General features: G+C 42.8%; 1 protein-coding gene across 46 annotated transcripts in view; it reads left to right on the forward strand.

Moving 5' to 3' along the window:
* The window catches only part of ZNF536 (zinc finger protein 536), a 487,995-nt gene that overhangs the window by 267,335 nt on the left and 203,164 nt on the right, over positions 1 to 17,496 (forward strand). The gene's annotated exons all lie outside the window — the stretch shown is intronic.

Genomic DNA, 17,496 nt, shown 5'->3' on the forward strand with positions numbered 1-17,496 from the left:
CAACATTTGCAAGACACAAATATGTAAAAGCCGAAGACCTCTCGGAAATCAGCAGCTTTGGTTAAAATAGCAGTCAGTCTGCCGCCAGCATTTTGAGTCTGCAGTATTTTTTTAAAGTTCAATCATTGCTTTCCTTAAATATCTCTCTTGCAATATTACTCACTTTTTTTTTTTTTTTTTTTTTTTTTTTGCCCATCCCTCAGTGCACATAGTTCTGGGCAGCTGTCATGACTTTAGTTTTTTTAAGTACTAAAATATTTTTTTTTCTTCTGTAACTGTGCTAATGAAAACGTGTGTAATGAAACCTTCCTCCCCTGCCCAGTCACCAGCCATATTTATTGGCAACTTTAGCTGACATTTTAGGGAACGTCAAACCTTTGTTAGAGAAAATGTAAGGCTTTGCTTTAGAAACAGGCATGCCCATGCAGAGAACGAGGTAACAAGGCAGTAGGCTTAATAGAATTTCCTTCAGACTTTTTTTCTAATGTCCATTACATATGCAACACTAATTTACTTTTTGTTGTTTTACTTAGCACAGAAATTGAAAATGTGACAAGCTTTGCTGGATTAAAAGGCTCATTTCATAGACACATAGACCAAGAGAAAGAAGAAAAACAAATCCATAATTTGGAACCGTTTAGGGCATCCAGGTAGTAGAAATTCAGTCTTCCCCATCACTCGGGGCATTTGTCGTGGGCCTGAGATTTCTCTGGAACTGTCTCTGTCCTTTAGAAGTAGATAAAAGTTTGGCCATGTTTGGTCACAGAAGTCTTGAGTGCTTTGGGGAAAAAAATCGTATCATGATGTTGAGGTCTCTCACGTTCCACTTAGGGGCTGTTCCTCAGCACCAGGTCCTGGATAAGAGGTTCCTGCGGGGGCCAGAAAATTCTAGCTAGTGAGCATCAGGGAGATACGGTGTGTAAAGCATCTCTGTTATGGGTTGAGCTCAAGTTTTCTAGGGTGCTCCTCATACGTGGAGTGTTTGCAACTCTTCCGAGAAGCACAGAGAGCAATGGCTGCACAGATACAAGGCAGCAGGGTGGCTACTAAAATAACAACAATAGTTAAAATATTAATAGCAACCTGACCTTTCTTCTCAACCCTGCCCCTGTTTGCCCATCCCTCTCATTCAGCTATTTTACTAAAATAATAATAAAACTTCCTTAAAAAAAGGTTCAGAACATGTGAATAATTAGTTATATGTAGAAACATTGCTTAGAAAAACCTGAATACTTGATTCTGAGATCAGAACAGAATTGACTTGGAAATCTGCACAGACAGACAAGGCAGACAGAGACAAGGTAGGGGGACCGTAGGCCCCTGGGATGAGAAGTTATGACTGGTTCGTTACAGCTAAGGTCAGTGTCCCGACAAGTGGACACTTTGCACTACGGGAACAGCTATTGCCAGAAGCACTGGGCTCCTTGCAAAGTTGCAGGCGTCTTGCTTCGACTTCACTCCGCCATTCCTTTTACAACTTGCATTTTGAAGGCACCTGGTAAGGCTGGGATGAATCTGCTGTCTGAAGGGTGCGACAATGGACTTAACCAGACTTCCAATGTGCAGGCAGTGGCGATGCTTCTGACCCAGCTCACGTGGACTTTGGGCTCAGTTTCTAGTACTGGGTCAGCTCTATGGGTGCCCCATCCTGTCATCCCTCCTTCCTTCCATCTAACCTATGGCTCAAGAACAGGACCCAAGGACATTGCTCCAAATTAATGTCCGGGGCCTTTTTGAGGGTATTTCAGAACTTAAGACCCTGTAATCTCAGCACTTTGGGAGGCTAAGGTGGGCAGATCACTTAAGGTCAGGAGTTCAAGAACAGCCTGGCCAACATGGTGAAAACCCATCTCTACTAAAAATACAAAAATCAGCCGGGGGTGGTGGCGTGCACCTATAATCCCAGCTGCTTGGGAGGCTGAGGCAGGAGAATTGCCTGAACCTGGGAGGTGGAGGTTGCATTGAGCCAAGATCATACCACTACACTCCAGCCTGGGCAACAGAGTGAGACTCCGTCTCAAAAAAGAAAAAAAAAAAAAAAAAAGCCCCCTCAGCTGTTCTCTATGAAGCACATCAGATTGGTCTTTGTGAATATTTCCAAGATTACACATTATGGCCAAAAGCCTAACTGTGAGTTAGGCTAAGAGTCAGCAGACCCAGGTCTTGGCTTCACTATTGCTGTGGTATTGGGACACCAAGTAAACCTTGTAAACACTACCTTTCACATAGTACATTACTTAACTGGCCTTACCCATTTGTGATGCCTCCTCATAGAAAGATGTGAGAATGCAGTGAGATGTTGGCTATAAGGTATAGGCTGAGCTGCGTGAGACCCTGCAAGTGAAGACTCCAGTGCCAGAGCAAAGGACAGGCTAAGGTCCAGGAAGAAAAGGAAGTCTTGTGTGCTTGTGGTGTCTCTGAGCTTGCAGCAGTATCTGGTACTAAGTCAGCAGTTAATAAATATTTGTTGAATAAATGAATGAACAGACAAGTGTAGGATCCTTATGCTGTTCTAGGAAAGGAAAATGGGGAAGGAGACCTGGAAGGAGGCTAAGTCAGCCTCTGAACAAGCAGAGGCATGCTGGTGTTTCGAACAGAGAGAAAGTTGTCTACAGAATCATAGAATCATCTGATGGAGAGATAGCAGGCAAATACAACCTCTTATACACATGGAGCGTAGGCCCACAGGGCAGAAGGGATTTGTCCAAGGTTGCACATCCAAGACAGAACTTGGGACCAGTTTACCAACTCAGTCTCAGCCCAGCTGTTCTTTATGGGGGTATCTGAAGAAAATCCTTTTAGCCCCAAGTGTGCAGTCAGGCTGGGATTCAGTGTCAGGCAGTGGTTGGGGTCATGGCAAAGCAGGAAGGGTGTGACTCAGAGAAGAAAGACACAACGCAGGGAAAGTCACAGCAAGAGACTCCAGTAGAGGCCGGGGAGGGAGTCCAGACTTTGTAGCGGATGGTTTCAGTAATGGGCAGTGGATCTTATCTTTGTCAGGGTAGTCAAAAGCATCAGGATTCAGTTGCAATGATAATTTTGTTTCTTGCTTGTACTGCAACAGCCTCCATAATGATGCCAGGGTGTATTCAGTGCCTGGCACATAGTAGGTACTTTACAGATATTTGTTGGATGAATGTCTTGAAGGAATGTCCACTCTCCGGGCGTTCCTGGGGAATCTGGTCTCCAGGTGTAAGGAGGGCTTGAGACTTGGGTTGCCTTTTCCACTGCTCCTGGCTCTCTGTCCCCATACCCTGTACCATGCAATGATCCTGGGCCATCCTGGAAGTAGCTCAGTCCCTACAAACTTTCTGTTCTGTCTCTGGAATACCCTCTGAGTTCTCGACTTGTCAAACTTCCACCCATCTCTTAACACTCAGCCGGATTGCCAGCTCTTCCAGGAAGCTTTCCTTATTGAATCAGTCTCCACAAGCAGACATTGTCACTTCTGGGGATGCCATGGTCCTTTGAAATGTTGTTTTAAGGCTCTTAGTGTCTCCTGCCTGGGGACAAAGGAGGGCATATCTAATGATCCTTCTACTTGTTTGTCCTGTCCCATGCCAGAGCACTGAGCAGTGAGCTGAGATTTAATGAGTATCAGCAGAGGGAACTGCACAAAGTAGGTCTGCAGTGAAAGTCTGTTAACTGAAGGAACAAATGTCTTATTGCATTGCTGTCGGAATTACATATGGGGAAAGGCAGCAGAGGCAGTTGGGGGAAGGAAATGACATTCCGGAGGTAAAGCAGTAGTAGAGATGGGGGGGTTTGGGCAGCACCTGGGCCTTCTCAATGCACTGGATGCTCAAGGTCTCCAGGGATACAGGTGAGAGTGATGGTCCGGGGTTGGCCTCGAGTAGATGCTTTTTATGGTGAGCTAGTCGAGTAGGTGCTTTTTTTAATGATAAGCTAGGTCCACACAGCTACGAGGGGCGAGGGGCACTGTGCCACTATTCTGTGTAACGTGGTGCTGGCATGGCATCCTTCTGTAATAGGGCACAGGTGACAGTGTCCTGCCCCCATGCACAGCCTCAGCTCCAGAGAAAGGGGCTGGGAGCCCTCTGGGGGAGCTTGGCTCAGCAGTGTGATGCTCTTTACAAGAGAGATGATTATGGGCCAAACAGCAAGGTGCTCCTCCCCCTCTACTTTGCTCTCCTTAAATGCCAGAGGAGCGTCTGCAGGTGCTGACACACATACCGAGAGACACTGGCGGCCACAATGCCCATCGGCTGTGGGTGTGCCCCTGGGTGTGTGTATTTAAGGGCCCCGTGAGCGGCTTGAGTCATCAATGATGCTCTTGAATGGCAAATTGGTCAGAGTTCCACAATGGTAATGATCACTCTGCCGGTGACCTTTCTAGTGCATTTACATTTTATCACAACATGCACAAGCCACCTATAGGCTTCCCATTGGCTGGGTCATTCCTCATGCACAATAACCCAGCATGCAGGGACGCATCCAGTGTAGATGAGAAAGGGGTAGCTTCTGACACATCTCACTCTATTGTTGCATGGTAATCTTTAGCACCAAAGGAGACCTTTGAGTTAAGCCCATGTTTTCTTCCCTTTTATTTTTATTTTAAAAAGTGAAGGCACTCCAATGTGACATGCATCCCTCATGTTAACAGAGCCATAAAGATGAAGCATTGGACTCATTGCTGCTCCCACACATGTATGGAACTAAACCCACCTGAGTGGCCCAAAAGGAGAAAGCAAGGGGGTGCCCCAGGGAAGTCCCCGGATCCTGAATTCTTCGGAACTGTTGTACTTTAAGATATTACTTTCCAAAAAGAGATCACCTTCATGTGTGTGTGAAAGACTGTGTGAGTGTGTTTGGGTGTGGGAACATGAGTGTGTGAACGTGGGGTGTGTGTGTGTGTACATTCTCACGCTTGTCATGCAGAAATTCAGCCTGTAAGACCCAAGCAGGACCAGATTCCAGAGACACCCTCAGAAGCCTCACTTCCTGAAGTTTCAGCCCTGTCCCCATCAGCCATATGTAATCAATTAGCCATGTACCTCCATTTGCTCATTTACTCATGAATTTTGCATCACTGGAGAAATCGCAGTCCTCTTCAGCTTATAGAAAATTATTAAGACAGTGTGGTGATTCCTCAAAGATCTAGAACCAGAAATACCATTTGACCCAGCAATCCCTTTACTGGGTATATACCCAAAGGAATATAAATCATTCTATCATAAAGATACATGTATGTGTATGTTCATTGCATTACTATTCACAATAGCAAAGACATGGAATCAACACAAATGACCGTTAATGATAGACTGTATAAAGAAAATGTGGCACATATACAGCATGGAATACTATGCAGCCATAAAAAGGAAGGAGATTATGTTCTTTGCAGGGACATGGATGGAGCTGGAAGCCATTATCCTCAGCAAACTAATGCAGGAACAGAAAACCAAACACCGCATGTTCTCACTTATAAGTGGGAGCTGAACAGTGAGAACACATGGACACAGGGAGGGGAACAACACACACTGGGGCCTGTCAGGGAGTGGGGTGGGGGGACGGAGAGCATTAGGAAAAATAGCTAATGAATACTGGGCTTAATACCTAGGTGATGGGTTAACAGGTGCAGCAAACCACCATGGCACATGTTTGCCTATGTAACAAACCTGCACATCCTGCACATGTACCCCCAGAATTAAAAATTAAAAATAAAAAAAAGTTTCAAATAAAAGTCATAGAAACGTCAAAAAATAGAAAAAATATAACTGCTGAAGACAGAGAGGAATGCATTAAATAAGAGGCGGAGTGGCTGTCACATCCAGGGCTCTGGGACTCTCACTTGGTCCTTGTTGTCTGGGTGAGGTGACTGCGTGGGGACCCATTTCACAGTGGGGGACAGGAGCTCAGGGCTTTTGGGTCAGTCACTCCTAGGTCTGAGGCTGCAGTCCTCCGGGCACTCTACCGGGGGCGCAAGTAGGCAGCGAGCATGCAGCGAGGAGCCGAGGAGCCGTTCCAGCCCGTGCGATCCTGTTCAGCTGAATCGTCACTGCTGTTTCCATTTGAGCCTTTAGGTGACAGTGCCAAGAATAAAAATAAGCCCGGCTATTTTCACTCTTATTTGGTACTTCTTTTTCTTCTTTTTTTTTTTTTCAAATGCCATTGAAATAGAATTCTAATTTTTACTTAAAATATGTCATCTTAATAAATTGCTACATTATTGCAAGTTGCTTGATATATTTAAAGACCACCTCTTTTTCCAGAAGAGCTCATTTCCAATAATATAATCACAATCAATAGAAAAACATTATGTTTCTATATACAGTATCTGCTCTTTTTTGAGGGCCTATCTGTTCAGATAAAAGAAGTATTTATCTATTTATGTATGTATCTATCTTTGCATCTATGTATCTATGTGTGTAAGTATGAATGTACATATGTATCTATGTATGTATCTATGTATCTGTGTTTGTATGAATGTATGTATATGTCTATGTATGTATGTATGTATCTATCTGTGTTTGTGTGAACGTATGTCGGTATGTATCTTCTGTGTTTGTATCTATGTATCTGTGTATGTAGGTATCTATATGTATATCTACCTATGTATCTGTCTATGTATCCATATAGCTATCTATATTTATATGTATATGTGTGTGGACTCCTAGGATGTCATAATTTTAAAATAATATGACTTTATATTTTATCTTCAAACATCCAAATTGTAGACTTTGCATCAAACGTATTTACACATGAAGTGTCTTAATACGTTTCAAAATAAGTTTCGTGTGATTACCTTCTTTTCCTACAGCAGTTGTCTGGACTTCTCCAGACATCTGTCCTCTGTTGTTAGCACTCCTTAACCTCAAGGCCAGGAGGAGAAAGGTCTTGGTGACTCATATTCCTCTTAGCCTTGGTTAACTCTTATCCAGCAAGGGCTTGGTGGAAGTCCATGTTCTGGTGGCTGCATGGGTCAGGGGCAAGGGAGGGATGGTGGCAGATGAGGACGAAATGAAGTGTTCCTCCCCTTGGAGATGTGTGCAAGTCTAAGTGTGTGGCCCCACCCCACTCCCCCACCTACCAGGGACTTTTAGGATCCAAAGCCAAGATAGCATTCCCTCCAGAAGTACTCCCAAGCTCACCTTTATGCCAGCTCTTTTTACCAAAGAGGGTAATTTTTTCTAAATAATTTCTTAGATTATTTTAAATCGTTCTTCTGGGAACAGGTGTTTTCTTGGGATGGGCTTGAGTTCCAACTGACATAGAAGGTTCAGGAGAAGCTGCTTCTAATCCCAGGGTACCCCAGATTCTAGAATTTCACCAAGATGCAGTGGATGGACTTGGGTCTCACAATCCCAGTCTCACTCCTGGTTCTAGAATCTCAGCAGGATGCCATGGGATGAATGTGGGTCTCACAACCCTGGGCTCACTCCTGTGTCTAGAATCTCAGCAAGATGCAATGGATGGATTTGAGTTGCATAACTTCAGGCTCACTCCTGGTTCTAGAATCTCAGCAGGATGCAGTGGGATGGGTGTGGGTCTCACAACCCCGGGCTCATTCCTGGGTCTAGAATCTCAGCAAGATGCAGTGGATGGACTTGAGTTGCATAACCCCAGGCTCACTCCTGGTTCTAGACTCTCAGCAGCATGCTGTGGGATGAATGTGGGTCTCACACAACCCCAGGCTTGCTCCTGGTTCTAGACTCTCAGCAGCATGCTGTGGGATGAATGTGGGTCTCACACAACCCCAGGCTTGCTCCTGGTTCTAGAATCTCAGCAGGAGGCTGTGGGATGAATGTGGGTCTCACAACCCCAGGCTTGCTCCTGGTTCTAGAATCTCAGCAGGATGATGTGGGATGGACATGAGTCTTGCAAGCCAAGGCTTCTCTTGGTCTTTAAATCTCAGTGAAATACAGTGGGATTGGTGTCAGAGGCAAGGGCCACGAGTTCTTATCCCAGCAGTGCTACCTCCTGGCTTTCTCATTCAGACCCATGCTTTCTTCGTCAGTACAATAGGAGTGTACCAAGCTCTCTTCCAGGCTCCCTGTCAGCTCAGAGCTTTGTTGAGGCTCCTTCTGGTGCTGTTTGGGCATTGTTCAGGATTGGAGCGAGAAGGTTTGACCTGTCATGTAGAGTTTCAGCTTTCTTACCCTGGGTACAGAGTCTCAAACCTACAAAGTGGGTATCAGGGGCTGATTACTTTATGAAAAGGCTCCCATCTACCCCCACACCCTACTAATGGGATTAACCATTGAATACTAAATAAGAAGGACCACCACTGCCCATATTTACTAAAAGCTCAATATCATCATGCTAAGTTCTGTTCTTGTCTTGTCTCATGCCCTCCATGAGAACATCCCTCAGTTTCAAGCATGACTTCTCATTCCTGGTTCATGGAAAAGGAAGCCAAGGTTTGGAGAAGTTAAAACTTCAGGTCACTTGCTTGCAGTGGTGGATACTGGATTCAACCCAGCATTGTCTGACATCATAGCTCATGCTCTGAACCACTACACAAGCTGTACAGAATGGAAAATGTTGGCTGTTAAGTCCCTATGTGTTGGGAACCTGGTTTCCTAGCTTTTCTGGCATGGTGGGTTGCATTTCACTTGTTTTTATGCTGGTCTCCCAGCATAAATTTGACCTCCTTTCATGGGCCTAGACCCTGTTTCCTTCATTGGCTGAGCAGTCAGGAGCTCATCTGGTGAAAGTAAAGTGTTCGCAGATCTTGCTTCATAAAGACCAGTCCATACTGAGACTCACACACCTCTGAAATGTTCACGTAGGTCAGTGGGGAAATAGAATTTGGATTGCAATAATTATTTATCTTGCACAGAGCTCATGAGGACCACACAATGGCAGGGCATGAGGCACATCCTATTTGATCTCAGGTCCTTAACCCATTCATGCCTGAGGTTGCAATTTTTTGAATTTTTGCAATCAGACCTTGGCGATGACCTTGAGCAGTAGGATACAAATAACTCCCACATGCTTAGCATTCCAATAATGGAACACTAGGCATAAATGGGCTAAGGGAGGTAGCTCAAGTGCTGGGATCCCCAGGGATATAGCTCCAGGGGAGACACTTTGGGATACTGAGTATTCTGGCAGGGAAACAAGGTGAGGGAAAGCAAATTCTAAAAGGGTTGAATTTACTCAGTAAGTAATGTAGACTATGATATTTCAGCCCATGGACGAAGTTGACATACCCATATCTTTGCCTGAACGACCCATCTGGTCAAATGCCAGGGAAGGAACATCAGTCCTAGGTGTTATGTCTACTCCAGGGAGAACAGAGCCTCTTTACATGGGCACTTACAGATTAAATGGGAATGGAACTGCATGTTGAATTGCCTGTCTTGAGTCTATTAGACCTAGCTTTTCTGGACTACATTGTAACATGCATCTGCAAACTCTGGAACAAGGGTAGGGCTGGCTGGCAGTGTGGGTGGGAATGGTTTTTTTTAGCTAGCTAGCACCAGGGGCAGTGGAGTAGATATTTTTAAACTTGGGGTGGGATTGAGGTGACCAGGGGAAGAGGCCCTGGAAATGGTGAGTGATCGGAAAGATCGAACTGTGTATGTCCAGGACAAGTCCACTGAGGGGAGAGAGAGGGCAGCTGTGGCTGGAGACTCTGGGGAGCAGCCAGGGGGCTAATGGGAGGGCGTTACCCTAAGTAGGGGACTTATCATCGTCTCATCAACCTGGACATTTAAGCAAAGTAGCCATCAGGGACCCACATCTTCTCAAGATATTTTATTTTCTTAAGAAAAAGGACAAAAGTCCTGAGATGCCTCTATTGCCCCTCCAGCAAACTAAAAGAGCATAAGCTGTCCGCAGAGTTCTGTGTTGAAGGGTGTCACACAGCAAGGGAGTAGGGGACACCAGTGAGATGTCCCTGAGCCACGGGAAAGAGCTTGGGGACACTGCTGCCCCCTGTCCCATTTAAAGTTGGATTTCTACCTCACTCTTGAGGCCAAAATAAACCCCAGATGTGGCAAGGAGTTAAATGCAAAACACAAAATAAACAGAAACACAGGGAGACCTAAAAGAAAATAGAAGTATTTTTATAATTATGGGGAAGGGATACCCTCTCCAACCATAACATCTGAGCCAGAAATTCTAAGAGTAAAGGTTGACAGGTTTTACCTTTATTCATTTTACTTCTTCATTTAACACAGTACTGGCAAATTATGCTACTCAATAAATATTTGTTGAATGAATTTGACTGCATAAAAATTAAATATTTCTAAGCAGCATGTGTGTATGCACACACACACACACACACACACACTCCCAAACCTAACCATAACATGCAAAATACAGTATGACAACAAATGTTTGCTAAATACATGATAGATGAAGGGTTAATATTCCTGGTGCAAAGAAAAACAAAGCCTTTACAAATCAATAAGAAAAAGACAAATCCTCCAATAGAAAAATGGTCAAAGGACATGAGCAGGCGATTCAGAGAAGAAGAAATACAAATGGTCAATAATCAAAGAACAGTAATGGAAATCTTTGCAGCCATTAAATGTGTGAGACTGACCTGTATTTACTGACTTGGAAAAATGCCCATGACATATTGTTGAATGAAAGAAGTGGGCTACAAAACAGCAGGTAGAGTATGATTTCATTTACGGAAAATTATGTGAGAGTATCTTAGTCTACATCTTTTGTGCAAAAATAGAAACATTCTCAAAGTTGCTTAAGCAAAAAAGAGAATTTGAGGAAGATAAGAGTGCCTCATCATCCCCTTGCAAAGTCAGCAGACATGTGGCATCACCCTTGGGTGGGCTGGGGTCAAGCCCTCGTGGGAGTCCCTGGGCAGCCAGGCAGCCATTTCTCCATCCCCTATCTCCCTGGCGCCAGAGCATCTCAAAACTCTTTGCCTCCCTCTATTTTTCTGATTCCTTTTTCCCCTCTTTGCAGGCCACCTGGGTAGTGGGATTTTGGGTAATTTTTATTCATTTAGAAATATATTTCTGTATGGTTTGGGGTTTGTCTTTCTTTCTTTCTTTCTTCTCTCTCTTTTTTTTTAATGAACGCGTTATTTTTAAATTTGGAAAAAGTCTATATTTTTATTTTTAAAGATAAAAGAAACTCCAGTTGGGAAGTGTAACTGATAAGGAGTTAATATCCTTAGCATAGAGAATTTTAACAAATCAATAAAGAAAATAATACCACAAGCAAAAGGAAAAATATGGCCACTTAGGAGCTCTTATTTAGTGAGTGTTTACTAAGTGTGGAGAACTACAAAACTTTGTACACACATTCTCTCTTCAACAGCTTTAAGAGGTAGATACTATTCTTCCCTCCCTTCCTTCCCTTCTTCTTTCCCTTCCTTCCTTCCTTCTTGCCTGCCTGCCTTTCCTCCCTCCCTCCCTCTATCCCTCCCTCCCTCCTTCCTTCCTTCCTCCCTCCCACCAGCCTCCTTCCCTATTTTCCTTCCTTCCTTCCTACTTCCTTCTCCCATTCCCTCTCTCCTTTCCTCTCCTCCTTCCTCTCTCCCTCCTTCTCTCCTCCCTCTTTCCTTCCTTCCTTCCTTCCTTCCTCCCTTCCTTTCTCCCTTCCTCCCTCCCATCCTCTCTCCCTTCCTCCCTCCCACCTTCCCTCCCTTCCTCCCTCCTCCTGCCCCCCTCTGACCCACTCATCCTCCCACCCTTCCTCCTTCCCTCTCTCCCACCCTTCCTCCTTCCCTCTCTCCAACTCTTCCTCTCTCCCACCCTTCCTCCCTCCCACCCTCTCTCTGGCCCTCTCACTCTCCTGCCCTGTCTCCCTTCTTTCCATTCTTCCTCCCATGAGTACCCACCCACTGAGCATCTGCTTCTTGTCAGGTATGTTCTGGGCTCCTCGGATTCAGGCTGCTGCCCTCATGGGGTTTGCATGCCTACTCTCCCCATTTTACAGCAAGGAAGCCTGAGACCTAAAGAAGCTGTGACCTGGGGCGCCATTTCCGATGAGGATGTTATATGATCCGCAAAATAAGAACACACAGTTTCCAGAGAAAGAAAAACAAATGGCCCATATGCAGATGAAAATATTTTAACCTGACTAGTAATCAAAGAAAAAATTCAAAAGTTGTTTTGGTTTACTGATAGATTGATTTGCTCCTCCAACCCAACAACTTATGAGATTGATAACAATGAGTATTGTATATAAGGTTGGGAGAAACCAGACACTCTTAGTCCGCCCAGTAGCTGTTTATATTTATACAAAGTTGAAGAGTAATTTGGGAAACATGTCAAAAGCCCCCCAAATAAGTGTCTGCCCATTGTTTCAGCAATTCCCTTTTTATGAAATTATTCTCTCTATATATTATATTATTATGAGATATGTTAATATTTAATATATTTATTAATATATAATACATTACATATTATATACTAATAAATATTCTATAAATATATGTTATAAATTTTAATGAATATTATTATAATATATATTTTATGATAATAAATATATATTATAATGATATATGAATGTATACTATATATATGGTATAAGATATATTAAGATATGAAATATCTTATATAGTTATATTATCTCATACCTTATATAATAAGATGTATCATCAATAATCTATATTATTAATCTATATATAATATATCTAATGTATATTAGATAGCCAAAGATGTTTGACCAAGGATATTCACTGAGACTCAGTTTATAAAGAAAACATTTGGAAACAATTTAAATGTACTTCAGAAAAGAATCTGTTGAGGAAACTATGACTCCTTTACTGTGGAAGTCTGTAGTTTTTGAAAACGATAGCATAAGTCTGTATGTTTTTGACATAGAGTCTTACTTTGTCACTCATGCTGGAGTGCAGTGGCATGATCTCGGCTCACTGCAACCTCTGCCTCCCTGGTTCAAGTGATTCTCCTGCCTCAGCCTCCCGACTAGCTGGGATTACAGACATGCGCCAACGCACCCGGCTAATTTTTGTATTTTTAGTAGAGATGGGGTTTTGCCACGTTGGTCAGGCTGGTCTCAAACCCTTGACCTGAGGTGATCTGCCCTCCTCAACCTCCCAAAGTGCTGGGAGTACAGGTGTGAGCCACCATGCTCAGCCAAGATTCCCAATTTTTAATCTCTTCATCTGTTGATTTTTTTTAGAAAATTTTCTTTAATTTTGTTACTTTATCTTTATAAATAATATAAATATTATTTATATAATGAAATACAAATATTCCTATTTACAGCAGCAGGTAGAGTATGATTTCATTTATGGAAAATGAATATGGAATTATGGAATATAAATATTCCTATTTATATTTCATGATGTATTTTCCTTGTTTGTTTCATAAGCAGACAGGAAACCTGGCATAAAAGCTCTGGAGGGCATTGCCCTTCCCCTCCTGATGAGATTGGGTGGTTGATGACTTTTCTCTATGTCCCTAAAGTTGCCCCTCTAGTTTCTTTCAGAGGATGTTCATCTCCTTTGACAATGATTCTTGAAGAAACAAACAAACAACAAAATCTAAGCTAGTTGACTAGGAGAAGCCACAGGCAAGAAGTCCTTCTTGGTGTGGTAGTAACAAGCCCATCTCCACTCAGCTGCGCTGTTTGAATGATGCTGTTCCCCAGTTTCATATTTCTTTTAGGTCCCTTAACAGAGACTTCTAGGGCCCCCTTTGTGCTGAGGCGAGGGGAGGTTCTGCCCTGGGGAAAGACCTGCCTGGGAATGCCCCCACACTGTGGACATTGGCAGATCTTGCACAAAGCGGGCAGGTTGTGGGGGTGTGGGGTGCATGTGCGCTGGACCCATAAACCATCCTGCAGAGGAGAAACCTTTCTTTCCAAGGACGGTCTGCCGAGCTGATTGGGCCTCGAGTAATCCACAACTAGGTTTTATTTTGATCCCTTTCCCCACAACAAAAATAGCTTCCTTGTTTGGGCTTGGTTTAACCTGATTATAAAACTAATGTGTGATCATTGCAGAAGGGTATAAGCCAAAGATCCATGTAAGGAAGGAAAATATCAGTCTTAACTCTTTTGCCCTGAGATAATCATTCTTAACATTTTGCTTTATATCCCTTCAGGCTTTTCTATGAAAAAACTACTTATCTAAATATCTTTTCATTTTCACAAAAAGGGGGATCGTAGTATACAAATTGGTCTTGTGATCTGCTTTTGCCACTTAATACCCTGTTAGTGAATATTTTGCATGTCAAAAATACAGACCTGGCTGGGCGTGGTGGCTCACGCCTATAATCCCAGCACTTCAGGAGGTGGAGGCGGGTGGATCACCTGATGTCAGGAGTTTGAGACCAGCCTGGCCAATATGGCAAAACCCCGTCTCTACTAAAAATACAAAAATTCTCTGGTTGTGGTGATGCATGCCTGTAATCCCAGTTACTTGGGAGGCTGAGGCCTGAACCCGGATGGCAGAGGTTGCAGTGAGCCGAGATCCCACCACTGCACTCCAGCCTGGGTGACAGAGCGAGACTCCATCTCAAAAAAAAACCAAAAAACAAAAAACAAAAAACTGGGAAACTTGAGCTAGAAGTTTATGTAGAGAAAGTTGAGAAAAATAAGATTAAAAAGAATGCACTTTAAAATAAACTGTTAGGGATAGTAAGACAATGAAATACAATAAACCTTTTTAAAAGCAAACAAAAAAGCAACTTAAAATAGGGAGAGACAGAAACTTAGAGTTTGAAAAAGATTAAAACTTGACAGTGTTCTAGTTTTAAGGTGTAAAGAATAGAGAAAAAGGGTTCCAAAAACATATCTAAAAGGTATTTAAAAAGGGAAATGAAACATTATAAAAGAAGGTTAAGAGATTACTAGAAGATAAGGCAAGTCAAAGGAGAAACAATCAAGACACCTTAAGTTGGAGGAAGCTAAAATTATACCAAATATAAGTATCTAAAGCCAAAATATTATGACTATTTTAACCCAGTAGGCACAAATAAGAGACAATCAGGCAGGTTGTTCAAGTGTTTCATGCGCATACGTGATGAACCCAGAATTGCCCATGCTTTTTTCTTTCTCAGGTATTATCACATTTAGTTATCTGAGTAATTATTTGATTAATGGCTTTCTTCCCCACGAGACTTCAAGATCTGTGAGGGCAGGATCCTTGCCTGTTTAACTTAGGAGTGATGAATGGTAAATATATGTTCATTAAATGGAAGAATGAGTGAGGCCTCTCCCAGAACTCGTTTTCCATGGAACAGGGCCTGTGGCACTGTGCCCCAGCAGTCTGGAAAGGGAATTGCTCAGCAAAGGGGATGGGGCTGTCGGCTCCCCCTGCCTCACCAACCACTAGAGCCTTTTACCATTCACCGATTGCCCATGGAAGCTGAATTATGACCCCAGGCTTGCAGGGGCTTATGGGAAAAAGGGCTATGAGAGGTAGAAAGCCACCATCTAGGCATGGGGACACCCTTGGGCTGCCATTGCAGACCCCTGCCTGAGTGGCTTTGGAAGACATTCTGGAAGGGAAACAAGGGCTATGGCTGTAGAGGATGGGGAGGACCTTTCTTCTGGTCACTCTCCTTCATTCTTCAGTCCCACTGCCTGGGGTATGACTGGGACCAGGTCAGAAAAGGACCCCATTCTGCTGAAAAGGAAACTGAGCTGCCACATGGTGAATGACAGATGTGAGGCAGGTTTGATTTAATGATCCGGGCCATGAGACTGTGAGTCTTTGCGGCCCACAGAGAAGGCTGGAAGGCAGCAGAGGGGGGCCAGGTGGAGCAGGGAGCCCTGGTTTAATTTCTAAGAGGCCTACAACAGAGCACCTAGGTGCCCTAGAAAATGCGTTCACTGACAGCAGTGAGGGTACCTTCAAAATTCAAGTCCTATCTGCCCTACCTCACCACACCAACCAGGAAATTAAACAACCATGGTGCCCTTCCTTAGTGACTACATTTGTGGGTGTGGGCACCGTGGTTCTTTTCTCTTTTCTTTCTTTCTTTCTTTTTTTTTTTTTTTTTTTTTTTTTGCGTCAGGGTCTTGCTCTGTCACCCAGGCTGGAGTACAGTGGCATGATCATGGCTCACTGCAGCCTTGACCTCCTGGGCTCAAGCAATCCTCCCACCTTAACCTCCCAAGTATCTGGGAGCACAGTTGTGTGCCAGGCAACACAGGTGACTAATTTTTAAAAAATTTCTTGTTGAGATGGGGTCTCATTGTGTTGCCCATGCTGGTCTGGGGCTCCCGGGCTTGAGTGATCATCCTGCCTTGACTTCCCAAAATGCTGGGATTACAGGCATGAGCCACCATGCCTGGCCTCAACTGTGATTTTAAATGGTGGGATTGAGATTTTTTCCAAAAGTAACTGAACCAAGAAGGCCAGAGGGACAAAACTTGCAAATCGAGTTATATAATGTATACAATATGTATAATATATATAATATGTAATGTATATATTATGTATAATATACAATATGTAACATATATTATACATACATATATAACTACGTATGTATAAGATATGATTATAATTACATATGTATTACACATACATATATGATATATATTATATCTTATACATACATAATTATATGTATAACATATTATAATATATAATGTATGCATAGTATATAATTTATATATAATATCTGTATAATTTATGTATAATATATAGCTATATAATATATATTATTTGTGCATAATTTATATATAGTAACATATATTTATATATAATTTTACTGTGTATATTTAAGGCACACAACATGACATTATGGGACATATATAGATAGTAAAAAGGTTACTGTAGTGAAGCAAATTATTATATCCATCATCTCAAATAGTTATCCTTTTTTTGTGGCAAGAGCAGCTAAAATCTAAAATCTAAAATTCATTTAGCATGAATCCCACAATCAGTACACTTTTCTTACCTACAGTTCTCATGTTGCACATTTGACTTCTAGACTTGTTCACCCTACATATCTGATCCGAAGTACAATGGCTATTAACTACTTCATCAGGGGAAGAAGCAGAAGTTGGTGGAAACTGTTGAATCGTGAATTTCTTTCTTCGTTTTATAGCTGGTGAAATTCCATGTTCCTGTGGTGGGTAGTGCATGGCAGGAGCCGAGATCTTGTTTTATCAAGATGAGTGGGCCTCACAAACAAATGATTTCATTCTGTTGAAAGGCATTATCACTGCATCTGACATGAAAATATTGTGGGGGGAAATTAGAAGTGGAAGTTTATAAAATGGAAGTGTCCGGGGGCAGCCTGCATTCATATCACCGAAACTTCAGCATAGCTTTTTTTTTAAAGATAGAAATTTTGCCCACATATACACTAATAAAAATAAATCTGTTTCCGATTACTAACTATGCAGCCAGGTGCTTGTTTGTTATGAGAAAGGCATGTTCATTAATTTTCAGCTATGAAAAGTGCACTGTGCCATAAATATACAATTCAAAATGTACTGCTGATAAATGAATACGCAGATTGTTAATGTGCCAGAGAGGGGTATTAGGCATCCAGCACAAGGCAGACAGGTACCCAGGTGATGGGGCTGGCACTTTCAGACCTGGCGTTCCAGCAACCACCTAGCCAGCCTCTG

Source organism: Homo sapiens, chromosome 19, assembly GCF_000001405.40.
Source record: "Homo sapiens chromosome 19, GRCh38.p14 Primary Assembly".
NCBI lineage: Eukaryota > Metazoa > Chordata > Mammalia > Primates > Hominidae > Homo > Homo sapiens.